Raw genomic sequence first — 27,996 nt, 5'->3', positions numbered from 1 at the left:
TCTTTTAAGTATTCTAATTGGTCTTTCTCATTCATAGCTTTGATTCCACAGAAATTGCAAATCCTGATTATCCTGATTTGTAAGTGCACCCAGTCAGCTTTCTCTCTTTCACTCCATGGAATATGCCTGTTAGATTTGGAACGAAGGATAAGCCCCCAAAATGTTAAAAATAGACTACTGCCCTGGCAGGAAATTTAGCATTGGCAAGCACAGAACTCAGAAGGAATTGATCTAACATAAGGAAACATTCAGAGAAAGATTTGTGCATTATGATCCTGTTCTGACCATTTTCAGAGCAGTCAAAGGGAAGTAAAGTGTATGTGGGTGTGCGCATGTGTGCGTGTGTGCAGGTTTGCTAAGTTTGTGTGTGTACATTTGAATAGCTGTGTTTCTTAAAAAAAATACTCAAGACATGGAAAAAGTCTGAAAAGAAGTGCTTTTCAGACATTTTACATTTTGTTATCTTACATCGAAGACATTTAAAATGTTGATACTGGAAAAATAAAAGGTTCCGAAGACAGCCTCACCAAAAAAAAACTATATAATTTATAAGATATGCCAACAACAAAATTGAGAAAATATTAAATTATCTTTACTCATTTTATGGGAAACTTAGATTTTAGTTAATGACCTTTCCTTAAACATGAAAAAATCACGTTTATTCATTCCTAAAACGGTATTATTATAGGGGGAAGAAGTACGGTTATACCCATTCTAGTTTTGTTTAAGAAAAGAGAAATACAGCCTTCAAATTACTTGAAAAAAATGTGGATGAATAAAAGAATGTAAATTTAGAAAGGAAACTCAAGAACAACCCTATGCTCACCGAAAACATTACGGTATATTTAGTGACCACAAGCAACCCAGACCTTGGTTTTTACATCTCTTCTGAAAGACACCACTTCCAACACAAACAACATTTCCCAACCCTGTAGTGCAGACCAGGATTGGTGCAGACATAAAGGGAGAACACCAACTATTGAATAACCCTCAACCACTTCCTGAGTCCTGAAACATTCTGTGGAGGTCTACCACTTCATTATTGAACATGCTTAGAAAGTGTGAGCTCATAGGTTTCCGGTTGAAGGTACATCTAAGCAAGAGGGGAAAAAGAGAAGTACTAACCACCCTGCCCAACTTGCTTTAACCCTTAACACACTAGTACTGGAGAGAAAAGTAGGCTTAGAAATAATCAGCCAAACACCCAAGTAGAGCCTTTTCTTTCCCTTTTCTGCAGAGTAAAGTGCTTTTGTATTATCAAAGACAATTCCATGACAAGGGAAGTTTCACTCACTTTAAAATAAATGTGGATGGAACCATCCACAAAATCTTCTGAGAACAAGAGTTCTAACCACAAGAGCTGCTTAATATGTACTTCCTTGACCTTTTAAATGAAAATCAGAATAATGATTTGTACAAAAACTTTCCCAGGAATTGTCATGGCCCCTCATGTCAGATACCTTCATTTACGAACTGGCCTGTGTTAACTCCTTTATGGCTTGACCAAATTATAACACACTTCGCGTCTACCTTAAAATTGTCAAAACTCATGTTCTCATTCTTCAGTAAAATTTTCATGTGAGTTTAGTAAGAAGAAAATCTTTATGTTTGTAACTTTTGGAAAAATAAAAGCAGTTAATTATTAATCTACTACCTGCATTTTATAGATGAGGAAACTGAAGTCTACAGATCCTTGAGACCACATAGGCTGTTTGTTTCCGTCCCACAATGGTCTCTAGAAAACAGTTAAGCATAGATTGTCAGAATCTCAGTCTTCTGCATCATTGTTTAGTGTTCTTTCCAACATGTCACAGTAAAACTCTTCTTCAAATGGCTATGGAAACATTAGAAGGAATGAGTTAGTTTCTCTACTTCCTACAAGAAGTTCGTTCTGGTCTACAAGAACTCTTCCATGCAAGAGTGCAATGAAAATAATCTACTTTAGAAACCCTTTGTTAACTCTAAGATGTCACATCATCATCTCAGGACTATTAATCGCTTGTGGGCTAGAGTCTGTTTTAACTAAGAGCCAGAGACATGCTCAGTTTTGAAAAATGCTCTTTAAAAATTACTAACTGCTGTTGCTACATGTTACCCACTCATTATGTTGAAGACTCTTGACAGTGCTCATGGCCATTGGAGAGTGGTGGCTCCATCCAACCTCTCTACCCACAGTTTTCAGCCTGAGCCCACTTTATGAGTCCTCAGTACCATTCTTTCTCTGCTCATGACCTTTCTGAACCCTGAATGCACTGAATGATCCTGACGTGGTCTGAGGAGGAAACAAGGCAGCAGGTGTACACAGTAAGAGGAGCAGTAGGAATTCATAAATCTGCAATGGGAAAATTGGAACAGACAGAAACAGACCAAAAGGTTAGAGTGTGAAGGAATCTTAGATGCTCTCTCATCCAAAGCCCTGGCTTTTCAAATTCTGGTGTTCTGAGGAAATAAAACCCTAGATCACTCCATAGTTACTGGCAGAGCTGGGACCAGAAGCCAGATCTCCAGTTATGGCATAGATGTTTTTATTGCTTCTATTGATACTTCTACTACTTGTATGATGCTTTCATTTTATTATATTTAGTGGGCCTACAAATAATACTAATAAATAACAATAGTTGCAACATCAATAATAGTTCAATGTACTGAGTACCTAGCGTGTGTAAGGCACAATACTAGGTACTATGGGCTACCCAAAAATGAACATGGCAGGATTACTGACCTCAGGCTTCTTACAATCTGGCAGAGGCAGACATACACAAATAAGGATAATACCAAGTTCCAAGTGCCTTAGGAAGGGACTAATGTGGAAGTCTCAACCATGTTCCCTTCTGTACCCTGCTGCTTCCTCTATTTAAACACAAAATGACACCTTTCTCTCAATAATATGTATATTAGTGAGTGATACTATATGAGAAGCACTTTGCATGTCCTGGGGATACAGCGGTGAATAGACAATATCCTCACCTTCAGGGATGTACATTCTAGTGGGGAAAGTAGAAAACAGAACCATTTTATGGATCACTTCAGATAGTGCTGTTTTGTTGCAGGTAAAAGAAGGTGATGTGATTGTAAATGAGATGGAAGTAGCGGACAGTCAGCTGGGGGTGGGTGCAGATCCACAAAAGCCCTTGAGGGCAGTGGTGATTGACTTGAGCCTGAAGGTTGTAAAGAGGTCAGCCATGGGAAGATTGTGCAGTGAGAGTTCCAGAAGAAGAAACAGCAGGTGCAAATACATGAGGCTGGAATGAGTTTGGCTTTTTTGGAGAATAAAAAGAAGGCCAGCCTAACAAAGCATGGTAGACAAGGGAGAAGGGTGGAAGATGATGTCAGAGAAGTAGAGAAAACAGTTCCCAGGTCATGGGAAGGGTTTATAGTGTGATCTAGTACTTAGGACCAACTCCACGGAATTCAGAGGATCTGGAGGAATAGAACCTCTTAGGTCCTTTGATCCAATGTCATGTTTCCATAGGCGAGAAAACAGTTTATAAATCTATGAGGTTCGCTCCGTGGGAGCCCGAGGCCTCCTGAGTTATTCTTCTCAGTGACTTGTCCAGAAATGAGCACAGCAACCTGTTTGTGGCCTATTCATAATTACCTCCCCTATAAAAAGAACAGTAACATGACATTCTATGCCCTTCTGATTTTAGAATGAGAGGAATCTCATTTTTCAGACTCACGCAAGACCACCTGCCTTGTGTCTGGTCACAGGCAGATCCGTCAGCCTGGAAAACAGAAATTGTTTGGCTCAAAGAAAGTTTGTATTTTGGAAACGAAAGCACTAGATACAGCAAACAGGACGCCACGGTGGTACGTTACCCTGGAAGCACCTTCCCCAATCAACATGTCCCAGCACTATCCCCGCAGTTGCCAGTTTGCTCCAAACAGCTGTGCTAGAATCAGGCATGAGCAAGAGCCTCGGCCATTTCCCCTTCCTCTGAACTCCTAAAAAATACAAAAACTCACAGAGCTGAGAGAGAAGCCAATAAGAAGTAAGGAACATGCAGCAGGTGGTACCATCTGTGCCCGGCTAATTCCAGCCAAAACAATCTGCTCCCTAGAGTTCCCAGTTGTGGAGAAGGGAAGAGAATCTGACAGCGGCGGAGCCAGGGGAGGGGGTGTGGGAGGGCAAGTGCCGAGGCTATTATTCTAACACTCAGCCAGTTGGAGGAAGTAGATTATTGATGCCAGTGTACTATTATCTCTCTCCTTTTCTCTTTACAACCACGGTGGGAGATTCCTCCAAAGTCTCGCTAAGCTGGCAAGTCTCAGAACCCACACCTGTGAGACAGACACGCAGGCATCACTGTGAGTCTGTCACCACTGAGGTGGGAGGGACAAACATTCTCCAGCAAGACTGGGAAGCACAGCCCACCCCAAAACGAAAAAAAACAAGAGGGAGGAAGATTATGTTTATTTTATTTTATTTTCCTAGCAACTGAATTCCCTTCCACGCTCGTGTTCACTCTTTGAAAATTATCCACTGTTTAAAATGGGCTTATAGTCCACATGCTTTCTCCCCAGGTTGGCATTTTCTGAAATAAAATTCTTTCGCTTGATGGACTTCTTTGTGAGGGACAAATCTCCTCCCGTAGTGCACTTAAAATCATGAAATGAATCAATGCGAGCAATTCAAAGATAGATCAAATTGTCTGTAGCAATAACTTTTCCTTAAAAGAGTAATAGATAGACAGGGCCCATCCTTTTCCCAGATTGAGGAGACAGCCATGATTACAGGGTCACAGACAGACCTATGTACTGAAAAAGAAAATGTTACCCAATGCAAAATTTCCACCAGCATCTTGAGGTTAAAGTGCTATCTCCATATAGTCATCTGTCAAATGCAAATACCTGGGAGGGGTGATATTTGCCTATTATCACCTATTATCATCTTCCCTTGGCTTAATTTATCAATTCTATAGCTGAGAGTTGAACCCTGAGGGAGTGGAGCATAAGCAAGTTTGCTTTTATCAGATGAAGAGAAAGGAAGGTCTGAATTTCAGATACTGTCCCAGAAAATGGTGCACTCAGAGGTCCCTGAAAAAATAAAGAGATAGAAACATTCAGGAATGAAAGACAGGTAGAGGTGGAGGGAAAAATGGGAAAGAAGGGGGGATGGTGATCTTAACCCTCTGTTTGGACTGACTTCTGTGCTCCACCAAAATATATGTTGAAGTTCTAACCCCTGATATCTGTGACATGACTTATCTGGAAATAGGGTTTTTGAAGATGTAATCAAGTTAATATGAGGTCATTAGGGTGGGCCCTAATCCAATATGACGGATGTCCTTATGAGAGGGAAATTTGGACACGGATATGCACAGGGAGATGGCCATGTGAAGACAGAGGCAGAAATTAGAGTGATTCATCTGCACACCAAAGAAGGCCAAGGATTGCCAGCTGTTACCAGAAGCTAGGAGTGAAAAACGGGACACATTCTTCCTCAGGTCCCCTGGAAGAAACTGTCCCCCGGAAGAAACTAACACCTTGATTTTGGACTTCTGGCTTCCGGAACTGTGAGAAAGGCTTGGTTGTTTCCAGCCAGCCCATTTGTGGGGCTCTGTTACAGCAACCCTAGGAAACTCACACACTCCCAAAACAACCCACAGCCAGGCCCTTTAGCATTCACTCTCTGGCTAGGTCAAAAACTCAAGATCAATTTCTGATCTCATCATTCTCTTGGTGCTGGGGCTTTAACAGATAGAACAAATATCAGCAGGAATATCCCTTTTGGTTTTGAGATGCATATCATCAGGAAAAAGACACACTGCCTGCTCTTTTCCCCAAATGTCCTCTATAAGGTAATCCTTTTAATTAGGATAATTAAATTCTTATTACAAAGGGCACCAAAGTGCAAGCATTATCGTCTGATTTCCTGTAAAGAGTATTTTCCTATCTCCTGTTCCACATGGTGTCCATGAACAGAAGAAGCACCCAGTGAGTCAGACATTATGGTTACAGGTTTGTGGCTCATGTCAGTGCTGAGAAGAGGGAAATGAGAAAGGAAAACATGAATTGGGAAACCATGTCAGAGGGCAGGCCAAGATAATGGAAGAACCAGAAGGCAAAGGAAAAGGGTGTTGTGTGGGAACCAAAACGTTGCTTCAGGTAGGAAATGTCAGAGAAAAATAGAATAACATTTAAAATTAAGGGGCAGGGAAGATCTAAGCAGATTTTTTTTTTTAAGTTTGAATTTGATCATAGAAACTAGTGGGATGTACCCATTCCTCTAGATTCATTACTTCAGTATGATCTTCAACTTTTTCAGCTCCAGGTTTCTGGTGAAATTGACTAATAATTCCCATAATATACTTAGGTCACCATGATTTGGGAAGGGTTTTGGGAGTTCCATGGGTAAGGCCAGAGGGGAGTAAGGCAAGTGATGTGCGTTTTGAAATATTGCTCTGGCAGCCAGGTGCTTAAAGGTGGGAAACGGTGAGACCAGGTGCTAGGACGAGTTCTCATGTGTGCCCATGAGCTCTTTTCTGCCCCATTAGTCCATGCCTGCCACTGCCCGCCCACCCATGAGTGGACAACAGAAAACACAGGTAAGAAAGCGAGGGGATGGTTCACTAAACATCTCTCATCTCTTTGCTAGAAAAACAAACCCAACCCTATGTCTTCTTCACAGAGGGCCGGCATGCCATCCTTTATATTTTCCTTCTAGAAGATAGTATACCGTCTTGAAAGCCTAGTTTAAATTGCTTTTTCTCTAAGCTTTGTGGTATTTTTTATATGCCATTAGTCAGTTATTACATGTTACTAGCAATAACAGTCCCACCTAATGTATTTAATTTGTTTTGAAACTCATAGCACATCTTTACACATAGAAGAGGCAGCTTTTAATTCCATTGATAACTTCCTCCTTAAAAGTACTCTTTTAAATTCCTAACCACATTCTTCTTGGTTTTCCTTCTACCCACTGACCAAGATCTACTTTTTCCACTCAGCCCTTAAATGGTAGCATTTGCCAGGGCCCCTCTGGGGATCTCTGCTCTCCTCATTCCAATCACTGACTTTTTCAACACCCACAGCTTCAGCTTCAACTCCTACCTATATGCCAAGACTCAAAAATGCAAAAATGCAAATGCATTGCCCCGGTCAGACTTCCTCCTGGCCACTAGACCTGCACATCCAAATGAATACTGAGCCTCGCTGCCCGATGGTCTCATAGGCACCTCAAGCCTGACCTTTACAAAATGGACATGGCAGTACCCTTCTCCCTTCCCCCTACAAAATCTGGTGAATGTCACCCACCAGGTCACTCAGGTGAAAGTCATGAGAGTCATCCTGCTGGATCTCTATGTGAGTTGCCGAGTTTTGTACATCAGGCTCCCTATTAGCTCTTCTTCCTGTCTTTCTTCCTCCATCACCATTGTCACTTCCTTATTTCAGGCAAGCATCACATCCCAGGAATTGCCTAATAGCCTCTTAACTCGCCACACTGGCTCTGATCTCACCCAAGGTGCTGCTTGGCTCTAATGTGGCAGGGAATGGAGCTAACACTGATAGTTGGTGGAGGGCTAGCAGACAAAAGCATGCCATCTTTTAGGTCCTTTAAAGATATTTCTTGATATTCTTTATACAGGCATTACTTTAACACTATTCCATCACAGTCTTAACAACTGTTATGTTTATGTATTTCCTTTAAAAAGATTAAAAATAATGTGCTCAAGAGAAACAACTGGTCTCCTCTCACCCCCTTGACACCCTTCACTATACTTTTGGTCTCATCACCTTCTAATTCATTCCACATTTTTACGTTAGCCCAAAGTGCTCTTTTGGTACTTTTTTTACCTTCATGTCTATCTTCTCCTACAGAAACCTCCTAAACCTGTAAGATCCTTAAAGTCAGGGAATGTGTTGTCTTTGTAGTCCCACTTCTGTGACTTACTGCCACCAAGTAGATATTCAATGAATGTTCACTGAATTAATTAACGAGTACAAATTTGATCATGCTGAAGCCCTACATCAAAATCACTGTGTGGTTCTCCATAGCATCCAAAATATAGTTCATATTCCTTAGTGTGGCCTTCAGGAGTTGACCCCTCCTTGCTTTCCTTTCCATCGTCTCTCACTGTTCTTCCAATTGCATCTGCCTGGGCATACCACCCTCTATTTTCTTTCTTTCTTTCTTTCTTTCTTTCTTTCTTTCTTTCTTTCTTTCTTTCTTTCTTTCTTTCTTTTTTTCTTTCTCTTTCTTTCTTTCTTCTTTCTTTCTTCTTTTTCTTTCTTTCTTTCTTTCTTCTCTTTCTTTCTTTTCTTTCTTTCTCTCTCTCTCTTCTCTCTCTCTCCTCTCTCTCTCTCTTTTTTTTTTTTGTTGAGATGGAGTCTCACTCTGTCACCCAGGCTGGAGTGCAGCGGAGCGGTGCAATTTCAGCTCACTGCAACCTCCGCCTCCAGGTTCAAGCGATTCTTCTGCCTCAGCCTCCTGAGTAGCTGGGACTATAGGTGCCTGCCACCATGCCTGGCTAATTTTTGTATTTTTAGTAGAGACGGGGTTCCAACATATTGGCCAGGCTGGTCTTGAACTCCTGACCTTGTGATCCACCTGCCTTGGCCTCCCAAAGTGCTGGGATTACAGGCGTGACCCACCACTCCCGGCCCCTCTCTCTCTCTTTTTAAGACAGAGTCTTGCTCTGTCACCCAGACTGGAGTTCACTGGTGCAATCATAGCTCATTTCAACCTTGACTTCCTGAGCTCAAGCAATCCTCCCACCTCAGCCTCCCAAGTAGCTGGGATTACAGGTGTGCACAACCACACCCAGCTAATTAAAAAAAAAAAAAAAGAGTAGAGATGGGGGTCTCCTTATGTTGTCCAGGATGGTCTTAAACTCCTGAGCTCAAGTGATCCTCCCACCTCAGCCTCCCAAAGTGCTGGGATGGCAGGTGTGAGCCACTGCACCCAGCTCTATTTTCTTTTTGTCCATCAGAACATACCTCAAGGGTCACATCCCTAAGATGATCCTCCCTAAAACCCTAATTTTAGAAATGCCCCTTCTCTGGGCTTCTGCAAAGATCCTCTACATGCTTCATTCATGCACTTCTCCAAGGGTTCGTTTCCCAAAGACAACGTGTTCCTGAAAGGAAGACACCACGAGCGTGCCGACTCCAGTGCCCAGCTCAAAGCCTGAAACCCTAGAAGAACCAAGATAATGTGTGGGTCCTCTGGAAACAGGCTGGCGGCAGCACCTAGTTCCCCACTGAATTAGGTCATTAGCCAAGTAGAAGGACAATTCAGTGACAAGACAGAAAATAGCATGGGGAGTGAGGGATGTAAACATAAGGGACTATGGGCACACCCCAATGTAAACCAGAAATTCATAATTTAATGCACCTGAAGATGTTTAAAATGATTTACAAGGCTAGAGTGAGGCACAACGTTAACCCACATAAATTAACAATTTCGTCTCTCACATAACCACTAACTGCGTGTAGCAGCATCAGCCTCCACTGCTGACATCCAGATGCTGATTGATTTGTAAAATTAGTGAGGCAAAGAGCACCACAATCTGAGTGAGGTAGGTTAAAGGGAAATGTGAATAAACAGGTCTTCTATGTAATACTGAGTTCGAGCATAGCCGTTAAGCTATTTAAGCAATGACTCAGATAAGGAACATGAACTGTATGAAAGAGGAAGAAGCCCAAAATAATCCGGGATGCCTTTTCTTCAAATTCTCTGGAGTTTTCAATTACCTCAGTTTCCTGACAAAGCTTTGCTGATGTCAGTAATTTACGGTAACAATCAGCAAGATAAGAGCAGGTTTGTGTGGGCCAGAGGTAAATTTGGGTCTGACATGAGTAATATATCCTGCAATGAAGGACAGTGGGAGGCCTGAGAAAAGGTATGGTTTTCTATTAGCAATTTTTAAACAAAACGAAAGGCATATGCATCTATTATATGGCAGGTGATTATGCTGTCCTCATCTGTTTTTTCTCATGAAATGTAACTACTTCCTTAAGTCCTAAGTGGCTTTTTAAATTAACGACTCCACCATAGATGCTACAGAAGTTCCGCATAAGAGATAGACTAGAAGATGCACTGTGTTTGTAACTGAAATGTTTATGCCAGAACATACTCTGAGTACCCTCTGTGTTTAGAGAACTGTGCATAATTACAAAAGAGGTAGCAGATACTATTCTTGCTTTGGACAGTGTACAATTATTTAAATGAAGTTAAGACAAACAAATGGAAGGTCATAGACACAATAGCCCTTTTGCCAACAGGAATCCTCTGTAAACTAAGATATACAAATAAACTGAACTTCTTAAGTCACAGACACAATTACCAAACTTTTTTCTCCAGCTGTTGTGACAGTACCTGGTAAATTTTATCAGCCTCCTTTGTCACAGAGCATGAAGTTTACAGATCCCAAAGGCCCTAGCTGGGTTGATGGAGAACTTTGCAGTTCCTCTGGGTCAGTATCACAAGCTTCACTTCTCACTGTACAGGATTGAGTGTGCACTGAACACAGGCTTTCCTTGGAAGCTGCTTTTCTCCACTCTTGCAAAATTGGTAAGATGGACTGGTACTCTCGTGATTTTGCTTTTTTCTCATAATGCCAAGTACACCAAAACCAGAACATTTAAACCGAGGATTCTGGTATAGTTTCCTTGTCAATCAAATGAGAGGTTGTAAAGGATTCTTAGATTCCTTCCCAAAAAGTCCATGATACGGGGCAGATTCTGTTTAAGAGCACTTTCTTTGTTTAACACAAAAGAAGTTCTTAGAGTTGTGAAGTAAGAGCCTAGGCTTTCTAGTGAAAAGACCTGGTTGGAGTCCCAGCTCTGTCCCTCCCTAGCTGTATGACCTTGGCTAAGTTACATCCTTAAACCTCAATTTACTTATCTTTAAAATAGGAGCAATATCAATAACTATTTCCCAAGATGGTTGTGAGAATCAAATGAGACAATATATGGCAAATAGTTTGCAAATAGCCAGCATCCCAGGCACTTGTTATGGGGCAAAAGTATTGAGAGTTCATTTATTTCATTGATTCTCCTCTGACTTCCTCCCACAGTTGTCCTTTCTTTCTTCCCTTTTGGGTTTGAGGGAAGCTGCCCTTTGATAACCTACTCCTATAGTTAGGTCCACAGAGAGTTCTCTAAAAGGAACACAATCATTTCAGTACATAGAAATTTTCCAGCATGTAATTTTTCGGGGGCCAGGACAGTCTCAATTTTCATCCTCAAAGAGACCCTTTGTTTCCTGGTGGGCGTTAGCCTAGGATTGCTCAAAGGGGAAGGAATGCTTGACAATTATCAGTCCAAGGAAGAGCCTCAGAGCATGAGAAATGAGGAGGTTGTTCTGCGTGATTCTAGGTATGTGGTTGCTGTACCACTCTAAGCAGATAATCCAGAGTGATAATGAAGTAGTCACAGGGTGAAGCTTCGTATGGGAGGCAGCCGAGGCAGGGCTCACAAATTGAACCTTCCGTTAGCCTTTTTGCATATTTTAAAGAGAGACTTTTAAATCGTGAGATAGCCTTGCCTGGCAGATTCATCGGCCCATATGGGGACCTGTTACGTAACTCGGGAGGCTCAGGAGGGGAAGCTGCTAGAGATGAAAGCTGAAGATCCAAATAGCAGGAAAAGGTTTTTAGTTTATGATTACTGTTTTCCTTCAGCTAATTTTAATTCTGATGAACACAAGGTTTTCTTTAGTACTTTTTGTTCCTCAAATCTTTTTTTTTTTCAGCTGTATTGTTCAGCCAAATATTTCTGAAGCCTCTGTGAAAACAACACTATGATAGCTCATGTAAACAAGTTTCCATGAAAATTGGCTTGAAAAATATATGTAGATGGCAACCTGAAAGACCATTCCCACTGTAAAAATGAAAAGATTTGATTGATTAACAGATAGATAGAAAGAATATTAAGGTTTACAGTTAATCAAAATGGATTAGAATTATGTTAACTCTTACCTTCCTGTTTACTTACTTTTTATTCCTCTAATAACCTAATAGGTGGTATGTCTTGATATATTTTTATACTCTAATGGCAGGATACATCTCCAGTCAAACTTTTTAAAAAGGTCATTTGTAAACAAATAATTACTGATTACCAGTAAATGCCAGTCATTGTGCTAGACAACAGGAATAGATGTGGAATAATATGTGGAAGTCCATATGCAAACAGATTATTACAGGAGGAGCAGAGAGGAAGCAGCCTTGAGTTGCTCTATGAGATCTCTGCCTAGGGGACCTAGGGCAGCTTTCAGAGAAAAGGGGTTATTTGAAGAAGAATCATGGGAGTTTATTTATCAGGTTGAAAACAGAGAGCAATGCTCAAAGGCGTGGAAACGTGAGGAGTGGGGCATGCTAAGAAAATGATGAGCTCACGAGATTCCTTGACTTTTAGCTATAAACGCCTTTGAAGGGGACCAAAAATTGACTTTATATTTAAACTATAAAATAAAAAATCCATACTATGATAAATTAAATTATATCTACACTCATCAGTATTAATTACTTATTTCTCACAATTGTTAATTAAGAACTCAGAGCAAATAGCAATATTAGGCATGACCTATGTTGCTAATGTACAGCCTCCTTGCATCATAGGGGGAAGAGGAAAGAAAACCACTTGAGTCGCCCTCTGCCCAATATAGGTAAATATGGCTGGAATGTAACCATACACGAGGCAAGTGCCTGATTGATAGGTCATTGCCACTTGGACTTTGACCTTTCACCTAAAAAAAACACCTTCTAGTGACATCCAGATGTAAATGCTTGACCATTAGCAAGCAGTTAAGACTGAATCCTTATTTCCCATAAGCTATGTATAAATGGGAAACTTATGAGGATATTTCATCTCATTATTGCAAACAACATGAAAGAAATTTGAGGAAATAATTTAAGCAATTTAATAAAGTTTTTATTCTATCTCCCATTCCTGAAAGTGGTATTTCAAAGTTAGCCTTTCTAACAGGAAATAGAATAGCTTGACAAAAGAAACCACAACTTTATCTAAACAGGCAGCATATTTGTGTGGTGTGGAGTGATACATATGTTCACTGCCCTTTACTGGTTAAACTGTATTTCATTATCGTCTCCTTATTTCCACTTCTAATTCTGGCAGAACTATTTCCTATAAACGGGTCAGCTCTCTAGCTGTTTTGAACATAAGCATTCTTTTAAAATGCCTGATCCCAACTTTATTAAGCAGTGTTTTCCCTCATTCTTAATTTTAGCCCCTCAGGCACACACTTAACAGGTCTTCTGCCATAAATGGGGAGAAAAATAAATTTATTACCAATTCCAATTGCATCATGTATAAGGATATTTATGCCATCTGTGGTTTAACAAAATAACTGCTTCGATTAGAAATATCTATTTTATATTATCGTAGTGTAATGATCCTGTAGAGTTGATCATTATAACATTGTATGAGACTACAGAATGAACACATCCTCCCAAATCAACATTATTTTTTAATCTAATTCATTTTATTAAAAGGTGCTATAATTGGTCAATGTAAAGAATGGATATTTGCATGTTCTTTCATATTACCTTATTTGGTTTTAGTTTAACCTTTACCGGAGTGTAATCTTCTCTGTATTGGCTTAGATCTGTTGAGGCTCCGTAGGTGTCATAGTGTTCCAGAGTGCTGAATCGCATGATGTGGATACTGAACAATTTTAGATAATGGACACCAGTGAAAGTGGCATTAGCCAGGAAACTATATCCAGATGCCTTTGGCAAAGTCCAAAGTCAAAGATAAAGCAATGCATTGTCCTCAGCTGCTTCTTCTCCTTCCTCTTCTTCTCTTTCCCCCTTCTCCTCCTTTGTTTTCTTTTCCTTTTCTTCAATATGGACTAAAGATGGACCAATTACTCTTTCAGGGTACTATTCTTTTCATCTGAAAACTTCAGCTAGGAAAAAGTACCATCAGGATACCTTTATATGATAAGGAAGTCCCCAGTACAGAAGGTTTTGAGAAAACCAGGCTTTGTATGCTTTGTTCTTAAGAAACCAACATCACCAGGACACAATGAGTAAGAGCTACTCTCCATCTCAAAGTTCTGTGTTCTCAAATTTAAGAATGTACCTGGCAGGAATATCCTGAGGGCTTAGGAATGTAAAGAATTATCTTACATTCTAAGACTGGATTAACATGTAACATCCAGCTTAGTTACTTCCTTAAAAAATAAAAAGCTATCCTTATTTTTAAAATAATTTTTTTCAATTTTCCTTCTCCTTCCAAATAAAGGTATAAATACTATTTCAGATTTTCTTTTAGATATAATTTGAGGCAGTAAAGATATACTAAAGTTATTAGAGGTGTCAGAGAATCAGTGTTTTGATGAAAGAGTGAGTTTAAAGTCAAGGTTAAAGAGTGTTCCTTTCAGATCCCTCTTAGAGCCAGACCTTTAGACCAAGGCCTAAAGTTAAAACAGAGAAAGGAGAGAAAGAGAGAGAGAGAGAGAGGGAGAGAGAGAGAGAGAGGGAGAGAGAGAGAGAGAGAGAGTTCAATTTCTTTAATTTTAACAGGGGTGGGTGCAGAGGTGTATAAATGGGCAGATACAGCACAGTGGGGCCACAGGATCCAACAGAGCTTGCAGGTGATCTATTCTCTGTGGGACTCAGATGCCTCAGTTGAGAACTGCAGCTAGTGAAGAACCAAGCTAGTGAAGAGGTCACTGGTCTGGAATCAGTGGTCTAGATCAGAGCTCTCAGATGACAAGAGAAGCCTAGGCCTCTTCCATTATATTAAAATTTGGACAAAATATGCCAAAACAGGATTTATACAAATTTTAATATTTTAAAATTGTTTATAAACTAATGTTTGTAACACTCACATATATAAAATGACTATATTATGATCTCATTTAGTTAAACGTGTGAAAGGTCTAAATTTAAGGAAGCAAAAGAATGATAAGCTCTGGCCAATCATGATTCACTCCCTGGAGTGGGATCCATCCCATTTTAACCATATGGCTGGGAATAGGGGTGAGATATTTTCTGGGAAAAATTAGGTTACTGTGAGGAGAAGTGGGGATAGACACTGAGGAGGCAATTACAGATTCATATGATTATACTTACGGTAGAACTATTTTGCTCCTTTCAAGAAAGAAACATTAAAAAATATAATATCCCAGCCTCCAGAAATAGCAGCTACAACCTGAGAAGATGTTCTTTCCAAAAATGTGAAGCCAGGAGTAGATTTATGGTATCTAATGATTCTCCACATTTGTGTGTGTGTGTGTGTCAGGACACCCATGTTGCACAGGATAACTATGTAGAAGGCATTTACCATACCCTAGTAAGTTAGGTTACAGGTCATATGAAATTGCTGGCATTTCTTTCGCACCCAAGGCTTTGCTTTATACTGGAAGGCAAGTGAGTCAAAGTGAGGATTTCCACCCCCTCCTTTATAAACTAAAAATAGTATTGTCAAACTCCAATATTTAACTCTTATAGATAATGGATACCTTTTGCTCTGGTTCATAATTGATTGAAACACATCAAGATGCTTCTCCACAGTGGTGAAGAACTGCTGCTCTAGAGTCAAGCTTCTCTAGGCCTGAGCAGGTTGTGGTATACTAGGATGTTTTTTGCTGGGTCACAGAACTTCAAGAATTGGTTAGGAGTTCTCTTAAGAGTAAAAATATCCCAAACTGAAAAGAAATTCTCCCTAAAACATGGAGAAAAGAGCATAGGTTTTAGAGTCACAAGGACATAGATCTCAATCTCAAGCCTGCCTCAAACTTATGTGCAGATTTGAGCAATTTTTTTGCCTTCTTGGGCCTTAGTATCCTCATCTAGATTGATGGTGCATGGATTAAATAATGTCAGATATGTTGGTAATAGGCACGCAATAAATAAACATGAGCTCTGACCCCTGTTTTGGGGTCTAAGTATCTCACAAACTAGCTCATATCTCTGGTAGAAACTGCTTGCAACAAATTATTTCACATAGGAGTTAACAGATGCTGCTGTTTTCCTCCCCAACAGCTCTTCCCCATTTCTTCCTATGGCCAGAATCCTGATGTTGTTCAAGTAGGAGACCGCAGGGAGCTAATTTAAGGAGACTTTTCAAAAGGTAGAACTCTGTTCTACTCCAAGTGGATGAACTGTGAGTGGTCTAAGCCAATCACAGTGCATGATAATTCCATTCGCCAGATGCCAGTGACATAGGGGTAACCCTTTCAAGCCATCAAAAGGAAAGGGAAAGTATTCTGAAAGACCTCTTGGAAAAATTTCCTCTCTGATAAAAGGAGAAAGATGTGTAACAAAACCCTCCCTAGCCTCTTTTTTCCTACCTTTGAAATAAGTTCTGGGAAGACAAGATTACTTAGATATGAAGCATCCATCTGGCAACCATGAGACACTCAGGAAGAAAGAACAAAGGATGCCAAGAGCCCACGTCCTTGATTATATTGTTTGGGCACCACACCAACTTTGAAACTATCTTCCCCCAGACCTCCTGTCATATCATCTCATTTAACCTTACTCTTGAAGCCACTTTTAGTTGGTTATTCTGTTACTTGCAGCCAAAAGCATCCTAAATGACACAGAGGCCTTTGCCAGTTTTGAATTAAACATTTCAAACTCATTTAGACTACAACAAAAGTTTTTAAACCATTGAGACATTGAGGTTACTTTCTTTGATGCTGGACGTATATAGAATTCCATTGCCTTTATCATCCATATGTATTTACATATGTATTTCAATAAGCATTTATTGAAGGCCTCCAATGTGCAAGACACCGGGATAAGCATCGCAGGGAGAAAGGAGGCTACAAAAATGAATGAAACCTGGATTCTGTCCTAAAGGAAACTTACAGCACAGTTGGATAGATAAGGAACAATAAAACAAAAGCAATATCCATAGTTCTGGCCTTAAAAGGAAGCTGGAATCCACCTCTGTAAATCACTAACACATGCACCTATCACATTTTACATTTTATTTTTATATGCCCAGAAACTTGAGCTAAAAGTGGAACAAAAAGGAAAAAAAAAGAATGAGGTAGTAGAATAAAATAAGAGACATTGAACAAAAGCGGCTGAATCACACTGTCACACTCAACTACTAAAGTTGGAATATGGGGGCAAATGTGATTGATGCCTTTAGCTTGGGGCCTCTGGAAAAAAGACAGTGAGAAAGGCAGTTTGCTCTACCTGGCTCTCTTTCAGCTCAGGAGTTGGAAAGCCAATACTGAACTGGATTTCTAGGTTCTCTGGCTTTAGTACAAAATAATAAATAAGACTCTGGCAAATTGTGTTAGATTCTTGTACTGGGTCAGCAATTACTATGTGTGAGAGTGCTTCAAAACGACAATCCTCTATACAACACTCCAAATGACTTTTCATATGTAGAAATATGATGCACTTTGTTCTTTGGTGTTTAAAGCTTAACTAGACAGAAATGATTCTTCATCATTTACAAAATAGCTAGAGTAAGCCCAAGACAACTCCCCAAAGTGGAATAAAATTCAGGATTAAAAGGCAGCATGTTGGCCGGGCGTGGTGGCTCACGCCTGTAATCCTATCACTGTGGGAGGCCGAGTTGGGTGGATCACCTGAGGTCAGGAGTTCGAGACCAGCCTGGCCAACACGGCGAAACCCTGTCTCTATGAAAAAAATATAAAAATTACTGGGTGTAGTGGTGCACACCTGTAATACCAGCTATTCAAATGACTGAGGCACAAGAAGCACTTCAACCCGGAAAGCAGAGATTGTAGTGAGCTGAGATTGCACCACTGCACTCCAGCCTGGGTGATGGAATAAGACTCCATCTCAAAAAAAAAAAAAAAAAGAAAAAGACAGCATGTCGTAGTGGTGAATAAAGATTACAGACTCGAGGGCCTGACAAATCTGAGTGCAAATCCTGGTTTTACTTTTTTTGTTCTTATGGCCTTGAGCAAGTTATTTATCACTCTGAGCCTCTGTTAGTTTTCTCATTCATAAAATGGGTTAGCAACATCTCATTTATAGGATTATTGCAAAAACAAATGAAGTGATACATGCAGACAGCAACTGTCCTTAGCATATATTAATGTTATTCTTCTTCCTCTATCTTGATTTTGATCTTAGATATAATTTAGATTTTTATTGGTACAGTCAACTCATAACTAGAGAGTAGCAATAGCAAAATAATACAAGGTGGCAGATAATCCTAGACTTCCTCATGTTTTCATATTTGAATGCTTATCTGTAATTATACTTGATTCAGGATAAGTTTTAAGAAAATTCACAAGACTTCAAAAAATTGATATAAAACCAATTTGGTGTTAGCTGGAAAACTTCATTTTTGTCTACTTTGTGGAATGACATTTAATAACCAACATGAAGTGCCTATCTACTATGTGTCTGATGTTTTACAAGGAAATGGGAAAACCTGGTGGGGATTTTTTTGCAAAAAAAGAAAAGGGCATCCTCAGTCTCCACAAAGAGCGCTGGTAAAATTGGAACTCTCTCCCTTTCTCTCTCCTCTTTCTCTTTTCTTCCAGTTTATGACTCACATGCCTCCAGAGAAGAAGAGCTAAGTGCTTGGTTCTGGAGCGGAACATGATCATTTTTGCCTTTCGGATTCCTGTGGTATTGTCCCCTGTGGAGGATTCAACAGGTCAGCTAATTGTCTGTAAGGAATGGGATGTTATTCAGCAGAATTTCAGGGAGAGGAAGAGATGCAGAGTCTCATAAGAAAAAAGACAGAGTAAAAAAACAGATGTCTCTTTCCAGAGTGTCAGGAGGGGCAGGCCCACCTGGGAAGTATGATGTATGAGGATGCATTGTGAGAAAGAGGTGGACCTAAGATAGCAAAACAGTGAGGGAGCTATATGGTGGAGAAATGGGAGAGACACGATTCCAGCAGGGGAAATTTTAGGGAGAAACAGAGAAGCCTAAATATTGTTCAGAAGCTTTCTGTGTGGTACATGTTACAAAACCCCTGTTTCACCTCTTTACTCATAGTAAATAGGTTCATTATTCTTCTGGACCCTGTGGCCAGACTGGAGTTTCCCTGAACATGACACTACACAGTGACCAGTCTGGGGAGGAGGGGTTACACATCACTGAAGTAGTTAGATAAATAGAAACAATATATAAGGAAAGACAATATTAGTAGATAAGGCCCCAATCCCCAACCCCATCAGTTTCTGCCTGCAGCCTGTCTGAACCCTCACTATTGCCTCCAAGAGTGTCATTGTGAAAAAATATAGAGCTTTCAGAGAAATGCTGGGCTCAGAAGTAGAGAAAAGAAGACATTTTGAAAACCATAATAAAAGGTTTTTAAAAAGTAAATATAGTACAGAGGATTAGCTTGTGTTCAAAAGGGCAGAAGGATTAGTGTGCCATTTGGTATTCCTCTCCTTAAAAATTTTCTTTCTTAGAAAGAAGGAAAGGCCAGGACCGGTGGCTCACACCTGTAACCCCAGCACACTGGGAGGCTGAGGCAGGTAGACTGCCTGAACCCAGGAGTTCAAGGCCAGCCTGGGTAACACGGCAAAACCCTGCCTCTACAAAAAATGAAAAAATTAGCTGGGTGTGGTGGCGCACGTCTGTAGTCCCAGCCACTCAGGATCCTTTGGTGGGAGGATCACCTGAGCCTGGGAAGGTCAAGGCTGTAGTGGAGTTGTAGTTATGTTCAGGCCACCACCATGCTCCAACCTGGGCAACAGAGTGAGACCCCGTGTCAAGAAAGAAAGAGAGAAAGAGAGAGGGAGGGAGAGAGGAAGGAAAGGAAGAAGGAAGGAAGGAAGGAAGGAAGGAAGGAAGGAAGGAAGGAAGGAAGGAAGGCCGGCCGCAGTGGCTCATGCCTGTAATCCCAGCACTTTGTGAGGCTGAGGTGGGTGGATCACTTGAGGCCAGGAGTTCGAGACCAGCTTGGCCAATGTAGTGAAACCTCATCACCACTAAAAATACAAAAATTAGTTGGATGTTGTGGTGCATGCCTGTAATCCCAGTTACTCAGGAGGCCGAGGCACAAGAATTGCTTGAACCCAGGAGGCAGAGGTTATAGTGAGCTGAGACCATGCCACTGCACTCCAGCCTGGGTGACAGAGTGAGACTTTGTCTCAAAAAAAAAAAAAAAAAAAAAAAGAAAGAAAGAAAAGAAAAGAAAAAGAAAAACTACATGGGAAGCTTGCTAAAAGCATACCTTCTGGGCATGATGCCTCCAAATCCTGATTTCAAAGGTTTGGGGTGGGACCTGGGAATGTGCATTTTTTCATGGATTCCAGGTGATTCTGATTCCAGTGTTACTCATACACTTAGAAACAATGGCGTGTACTACCTGGGGCCAATTGATTCATCAGTTGTGACAGTATAAATGTCCCATAGTACAGGGTACTGGACTTAGACTGCGTGCAGTCAAATGTCAGCCCTCTTCACATATCATTCTGTAGAGGTCTACCCATTTTGGTTTACACACTCTGAACAACATGACTCTGATTTTAAATGTTGGTTCAGGTTCAAATAACTCACTGTAGAATGGACTGGGGAGTTACAAAATACAGATGCGGCCGGGCGCAGTGGCTCACGCCTTTAATCCCAGCACTTTTGGAGGCTGAGGTAGGCAGATCACGAGGTCAGAAGATCGAGACTCTCCTGGCTAACATGGTGGAACCCCGTCTCTACTAAAAATACAAAAATTAGCTGGGCGTGGTGGCGGGCACCTGTAGTCCCAGCTGCTGGGGAGGCTGAGGCAGGAGAATGGCGTGAACCCGGGAGTCGGAGCTTGCAGTGAGCTGAGATTGCGCCACTGCACTCCCGCCTGGGCGACAGAGCGAGACTCCATCTCAAAAAAAAAAAAAAAAAAAAAAAACAGATACATACAGTGCGCTGGAAGTATATTGTACACTGCAATGACTAATAAAGTTCCGAGTTTCAGAAGTAGTTTTCAACAAGTATATCACAACACCTTTTTTTTTTTTTGAGACGTAGTCTCACTCTGTTGCCCAGGCTGGAATGCAATGACCAGATCTCGGCTCACTGCAACCTCCGCCTCTCGGGTTCAAGCAATTCTTCTGCCTCAGCCTCCTGAGTAGCTGGGATTACGGGTGTGTGCCACCACACCTGGCTAATTTTTGTGTTTTTAGTAGAGATGGGGTTTCTCCATGTTGGTGAGGCTGGTCTCAAACTCCTGTCCTTGTGATCCGCCCACCTCAGCCTCCCAAAGTGCTGGGATTACAGGCGTAAGCCGCTACACCCAGCCATCACGTCTTTTGATTGTGTGCTACCAAATTCAATGATCAATGGGTCATTTTTTATTTTTGCTACAATAAATGATTTTGCTGATTTTACTATATATTCCAGAAGCAATATTGAGCTAGGTAGGTTACATATTGCAGTGCAGAGCACTAGGTAAGCAACAGATAAAGTTTCAAAAGTAGCATGAGAGCAGCCTGTAATCTCTGAAAGTTACATATTTTCTGAAACACTCAAGGACCTTGCCTTGGAAATATTTTCAAGAATCCTGAAAAGACAACAAACAACTCTATGCAACCAGTGATGTAACACTGACAGGTTATTAAAGGTTATATTTATAGATGCAAAGGAATCTCTCTGAGTGAGCCACCAAATATTCTAGAATCCAAAGTGTCTGGGAACACTAAAGCTGCAAACCATTGCACTACAGTGGGATTTGGTGTTAACAAGCAATTGTGTCTCACTAGAGTATTGAATACAGCAGACTCCGCTTTCAATCCACAGAACCTGAGGACTGGGCTATGGGAAAGGGGAAGATGTAGAGAATGGACAGAGCCAGGGCCAAGAGAATGAAGTGCTGACTCCACAGGACCCTCTGTCAGTTCAGAATAACTTGGATGCTTTGGGGTCTGATGGGTAATAGGCATAATATCAAACGTCTCCAAGAAGTGATAATAGTTATAATCAATTGTAGCTAGCTTAAATTGGATTATCTGGGAATAGACTCTGAGTCTGACAGTGGTGTGCAAAATGTTCACTGGGATGTGATCTCAGCAGACAGACCTGCATGGAAGGAAGGAAGGAAGGAAGGAAGGAAGGAAGGAAGGAAGGAAGGAAGGAAGGAGGGAGGGAGGAAGGGAGGGAGGGAGGGAAGGAAAGAAGGAAGGAAGGAAGGAAGGAAGGAAAGAAGGAAGGAAGGAAGGAAGGAGAGACTAGGTGGAAGGAGAAACTGGTCTGCAATTTGGTTGCATTTGAGTCTACAGCTGATCCTACAGGGGGAGCTGAAATGGTCATTTAGAGTTTTCTCTATATGAGGAAAAGAAGCTGATTCCTTGTAGCTGCCCATTTGCCTCTCCACTGGAAAGGGCTATAACCTTGTTCTTTGCCACTATTTCCCTCAAAATAATTAACATTTTCCTGCTGAATTTGAGGTTTAGTAGTCAAATTAAAAAGTGTAGGCCAGGTGCAGTGGCTCACGCCGGCAATCCCAGCACTTTGGAAGGCCAAGCCAGGTGGATGGCCTGAGCTCAGGAGTTCGAGACCATCCTGACCAACACAGTGAAACCCCGTCTCCACTAAAAATACAAAAAATTTGCCTGGTGTGGCAGTGTGCGCCTGTAATCCCAGCTACTGAGGAGGCCAAGGCAGGAGAATCGCTGGAACCCAGGAGGCCGAGGTTGCAGTGAGCCAAGATCACACAACTGCACCCCAGCCTGGGTGACAGAGCAAGACTCAGTCTCCAAAAAAAAAGGTGTGGTCCCCTTTCTCCCCTTTTCAATCTACCTCCACTTCCCATTTAGGTTCCTTCAGAAACTTTCCATGAATTCAGTAACATTTGAATTTTGTAGTCAGAGCACAAGGGTTTATATCTTGGATATACAATTCATTCTTATGGTCTTTGCTTGTCGGTCTTGAAAAAGTCATACTAATCAATGCCAACCCTGAGTTATCACACCGAGAATTTGTGCTGCCAATTAACTCAAAATTTCCATTATATGTGAAGATTTATGATTACTCCAGTGACGTCTTGACTTGCTAAAAAGCAAGCCCCCAGATTGCTAACACAAGGTGTGTCTTCAAGGATGAAAGTAACTTCAGGAAAATGACATTAGCTCATCCTTTCCTGTGCTGATTATTTGAAAAGAAACCTTCTTTAACTGGAATATAATTCATGCATTCATTTCTTTTTATATCATTTATATGCTACAGTTTACACTCTTATTCTTTCAATAATTTATAAGCAAACATTCAAAGTAATTCTGATGTGCATTGGAAGTGTTATGTCAGTGTTTCTACTGACTAGAAAAAAAAAAAAAAAGCCCCACATGGCTTCAGTTATAATAATGGTATCTTTTACAGTGCAACAACAACAATATAATAAAGCTCATTATTTATAACACAATAATCATATATATGGAAATGTTCCTTTAAGTATTTATTTAAATTATACAATGCCGACCCAGTGTGGTGGCTCATGCCTATAATTTCAGCCCTTTGGGAGGCCAAGGCAGGAGGATCACTTGAGGTCAGGAGTTTGAGACCAGCCTAGCCAACATGGTGAAACCCTGTCTCTACTAAAAAGTACAAAAATTAGCCAGGTGAGGTGGCGGGCACCTGTAATCCCAGCAACTCAGGAGGCTGAGGCAGGAGAATCGCTTGAACCTGAGAGGCGGAGGTTGCAGTGAGCCAAGTTCACGCCTACTGCATTCCAACCCCGGTAACAGAGCGAGACTCCATCTCAAAATAAAAAATAAATAAATAAAATAAAATAAAAAATTACACAATGTATAAATTGCTAAAATATTGAACGACACATATGTGACTTCAATTTAACAACCTGTTCAGACTTTTCATATGAAAAATGAGGTAAATAAGAGTCTAATTCAGAAGAATGTTTGAGGTCTGTTTACCTTGACTAAATTCTCCAAAAAGATTAGGCATTCATCTAAAAGAATAAATAATTACTAAAAGAATTCAATTGTATCCCCATGGCTGAACTGCAGAATTCATGCAAGCAAAGTGACATTTCGCCCATGAAAAAGATTTTGTCAAGATCAGGTTTGTTCTTCCCTACATGTTTTCTCCATTTCACTCTTTTTGGAAGTGGACCAATAAATGTAATTCCTACAGTTGGCAATGTATCCCCACTTATCCTCATCAAAATTCAAGTCCTGGTGTAGGCCAAAATTCAATCCTGGTATAAAAGGAGGGAGCTGTTAACACCCCAGACTGACTCTGAGGATAATCCCACAGCTACTTTACCCAGAGGAAATGAACATTTATTGACCACTTACATTTATTGAGCCAGGCTCATACTTGCTAATGCATCAGTATATCATTTGTTCATTCATTAATTCAATCAATAAACACTGTTTGCCAAGCACCAGGAATACCAAGAAGAATGGGTCACGGTCTGTACCTGCAAGAAGCATGGTCTAGTTCTCTAATCCATATCATTCAATCTGACAATAACTGAAAGAGAAGAAACTGGAACTCAGTAAGTTTAAACAACTTGTCCCATGACAGAGGCAGCATTTATGCTGAAGTCTATGAGACTCCAAACTCTATTCTTGCTCCACTGTCTCCTTCTTGTTGCCGAATAAAACATTCTTACACTATTTAGAGTGTGATGGTGGGAACTGAAATGTCAGTAAAATACTCAATATTCAAATGCCATGATGGATAGTCTAAAATGCTTTTTTTTTTCTTTCTGTTTGTCTATTGCTTAAACAAAAGATGCCTACTGAGGGTTCTTTGCCTTCATCACAAACTAGGAAAAGAGACAAAACTATATTTTTTGCTGAGTAATGTCGTAGTCATTTGTTGTTGCTGGTTTTCACTGGAGTCCTAACTGAGCAAGCCGTAACACTGACACACAGATTCAGTCAGGGCTGATTGTCTTCAACACTGTGCTAGCTGATGTCCTTGAATGTAACGCAGCTCACATCTTCACAGTACATCTCTCCCCCTGAGGATTCTTAGTACTAACTCCTATTATCTATGCATAAATGCTGATGCTAGATCAGGACAAGCATTTAGTTATACTGCAGGGGCACTTTGAATGAATGACCTGGGGCTTGGCTGAAGACCAAGTCCATTGGAAACTCCCCTCTAAGCTGTGCATTTTTAGGCTGTGGTCATCGTTGGGATTTCCCCCCAAAAACTTCTCTGTCATGGCAGAAATGTAACAGCCCCCATTTTAGAATAGTATACAAGCCTGGATCTCAAAGTAAGTATGAAATGATTTGCTTTACATCTTGATGGTTCTATTCTTCTTAAATCCTTCCTCATTCTTAAATGTTTTTCTATTTGCATATTCTTAAATCTTTTCTTATTTGCATATTGAAGTCTTCTTGTAAAAGTGTCTGCTTTTCCCCAAAAATGATACACTCAACATTTCCTGACAGTCTATGTCCCATAGAATTCTAGGTACTTTTGGTTTATTATAACCAAGACTAAAGAGAAAGTTTCCAAATAGCATCTGACAGGCTTCTAAAGTCATAAGAGTTACAGACTAAATGTTTAGTCAAATACAATGATACAATTCATGTTTCTAGCAAGCTGTCTCTTGGTTAAAAAGCTGGACTAAATTTATATATAGAGAGAGAGCCACAAAAAAGCCATACTCAGAAACAACGGATCATGCATATTTAAGTTGTTGGTAGAAGCACTAGATGACTGGATTCTATCTGTTGCTCGGTATAATAAAATTTTAGGCCTTGGAAATGGTTCCAGGAATGGCAGACTGTTACGAAAAAGAAAAAGATCCTCACTGGTAGAAGTGTATCAAACTATCTAAATTATTCAAATTGTTTTATTTTTCCAAATAGACCTACTACCTCTAAGTATACTAGAAGACCAGAAGTATATTCAGAAATTACTGGTCAAAAACTATCTGTGACCCAGATACTGTTTGGATTTGCATGAGATGTTTCCAAAGCAGTCCGGGAAAGCCCACAAATTCAAAGCAGCCTCTTTATCCTCACCCCATTTCTGCTGAGTCCAAGAACCTTATTTCATTTCCTGCATGGTAGGCATTTTTTAGGGACTAGGTAAGCCATGACATCTGCACTGCTTTCTGAGTCATTGTCGTGAAATGATACATGCTTGGGTGTAGTGCGGCTACTTGGTTCCCAGAGAAAACAAACAAACAGAAGTCAGCTAGGAACTTGAGTCTTGCTAAAAACAAAGACAACATACAATTCCAAATTTTTAATTTATTTTTTAAAAACAGAGCCTTTGGCTTTCAAGTTTCCAAATGATATTTTCTAACCCTGGGAAAATATTTTAAATGAGATCTTTAGCTCTGCATGCCTCATTTCAGACCATTCCAATTTGTCAAAGGGGACTGGTCAGGCATCTTCTAAGCAGGTCTGTCTTTGGAAGATTAAGGCGTAAACCTCTGATTATGATAGACCAGGGGGGCACATATTCATGTAAAATTCCCTTCATTAGGATAGCTTGAAAAATAATTTCATCATTTTGTTATCTAGAAAAGGGTAAATATTTCATCTATTAACTGTCATACATAATTGTGAGCTAAGTCCTAAAGAGTTATAAAGATGAATAAGATATAGTCCCTGTCCTCACAAAAGTTAAGAGTATGGTGGCTGGGGGCAGGCGCTCACGCCTGTAATCCCAGCACTTTGGGAGGCCGAGGCAGGCGGATCACCTGAGGTCAGAAGTTCGAGACCAGCCTGGCTAACATGGTGAAACCCCATCTCCACTAAAAACACAAAAAAATCAGCTGGGCGTGGTGGCACGTGCCTGTAGTCTCAGCTACTCAGGAGGCTGAGGCAGGAGAATCACTTGAACCCGGGAGGCGGAGCTTGCAGTGAGCGGAGATCACGCCGTTGCACTGCAGCCTAGGTAACAAGAGCAAAACTCCATCTCAAAAAAAAAATAGTAAGGCGTATGAAGATGAGGATGAGGCATGAATACAGAAGTCCGTAACATTAGTAAATTATGAAATTGTAAATATAGTACATAGAGATTTCAGAGGTAGACAAAGAAAATAACGTAAGTTAAGTCTCCTATTAGAGGAGAGTAGAACGTATGTAAGGATCTTTTTCAGATTTCTTAAATCTTTGAAGGAAGAAATAGGAGCTAGAAGTATTACTGGGAAATTACTGAACAACAAGAACAAAAATTCAAGTAAATAACTAGTCCTTCATACCAACATCTCCTGTGAGGAACAAAATTTAGTAGAAAACTTTTATCAAGTGCTTATATTATGCTAGGCATTCATATCCTAGTACCATTTGCTTTATTTTTAAGATGAACTGATGAGAGATCAAGTGACTTACCCAAAGTAACACACGTAAAAAATGGTAGAGTCAGGATTAGAAGCAAAGCCCAGCTAGCTTTAACCATGCAGTCTTGCATAAGCAAAGGTTGAGGAGGAGAGGAAAACACGAGGCATGCAAAACGATTTAAGAATTAATAGCAATCTTAGGCTAGGTTATTCTGTGGTAACAAAAAGCCCTCAAGTCTTAGTGATTTATGAAAACAAAGGTCATTCCTTGTTCACATTGCATGTTGGCTGCAGGTCTGCTGGGGCTGTCTGGAGTTCTCTTCACTCTGGAGTCCAGGGTGAAGGAACTACTCCATCTTGGACACTGCTATGGCATGACAAAAGGGAAAGCCCCTTAAAGCTTCTGCTGGGAAGTGGAAAGTTATCACTTTTGCCCTCATTTTGTTAGCCAAAGTTAGTCACATGGGCAAGCCTGATGTCCATGGGGGAGGGCGTTTAGTTCCCCTTAGGGAGGAGTAACAAACATTCTGAACAAGAATGCAATCTGTCACCATCTGCCCTCTTGGTCACATAATACTACTCCCTACTTTTGCACAATTTATTCACTCTTTCCTCAAAAGAGATAATCCCAAATTCCTATTTACTCATGGGACTAAGCTTATAGTTCAGGATCTTGTGATAGTCTCTGGATTAGGTCTGGATAGTGGTTCATTTTGATCCAAATAACTGTAAATTAAATAACAAGCTATTAACCCCCTTCACAACCAATGTGCAATGACAGAATAGGAGCAAGATAACCTCACTAAACACTTCCACATGGGAAAGGATGAAGAGGAGACACACCACAATCTATGGGTCAGTGAAATCCTA

At 40.6% G+C, this 27,996-nt stretch overlaps 2 annotated features.

Annotated features, from left to right (window-relative positions):
- Positions 9,704-9,753: an enhancer, noted in NCBI's record as "active region_16603". NCBI's record gives its function as "activates an Ori minimal core promoter by ATAC-STARR-seq in GM12878 lymphoblastoid cells {active_cell/tissue: GM12878}" and the evidence as "EXISTENCE:reporter gene assay evidence [ECO:0000049][PMID:35858748]".
- Positions 26,596-27,109: an enhancer, noted in NCBI's record as "H3K27ac-H3K4me1 hESC enhancer chr2:145114539-145115052 (GRCh37/hg19 assembly coordinates)". NCBI's record gives its function as "activates a minimal SCP1, AML or CMV promoter by ChIP-STARR-seq in naive H9 embryonic stem cells {active_cell/tissue: H9 hESC(naive)}" and the evidence as "EXISTENCE:reporter gene assay evidence [ECO:0000049][PMID:30033119]".

The sequence above is a fragment of the Homo sapiens genome, chromosome 2 (assembly GCF_000001405.40).
Source record: "Homo sapiens chromosome 2, GRCh38.p14 Primary Assembly".
Lineage (NCBI taxonomy): Eukaryota > Metazoa > Chordata > Mammalia > Primates > Hominidae > Homo > Homo sapiens.
The sequence above is the reverse complement of the archived record's forward strand: the minus strand, read 5'-3'. Positions and strand labels throughout refer to the sequence as shown.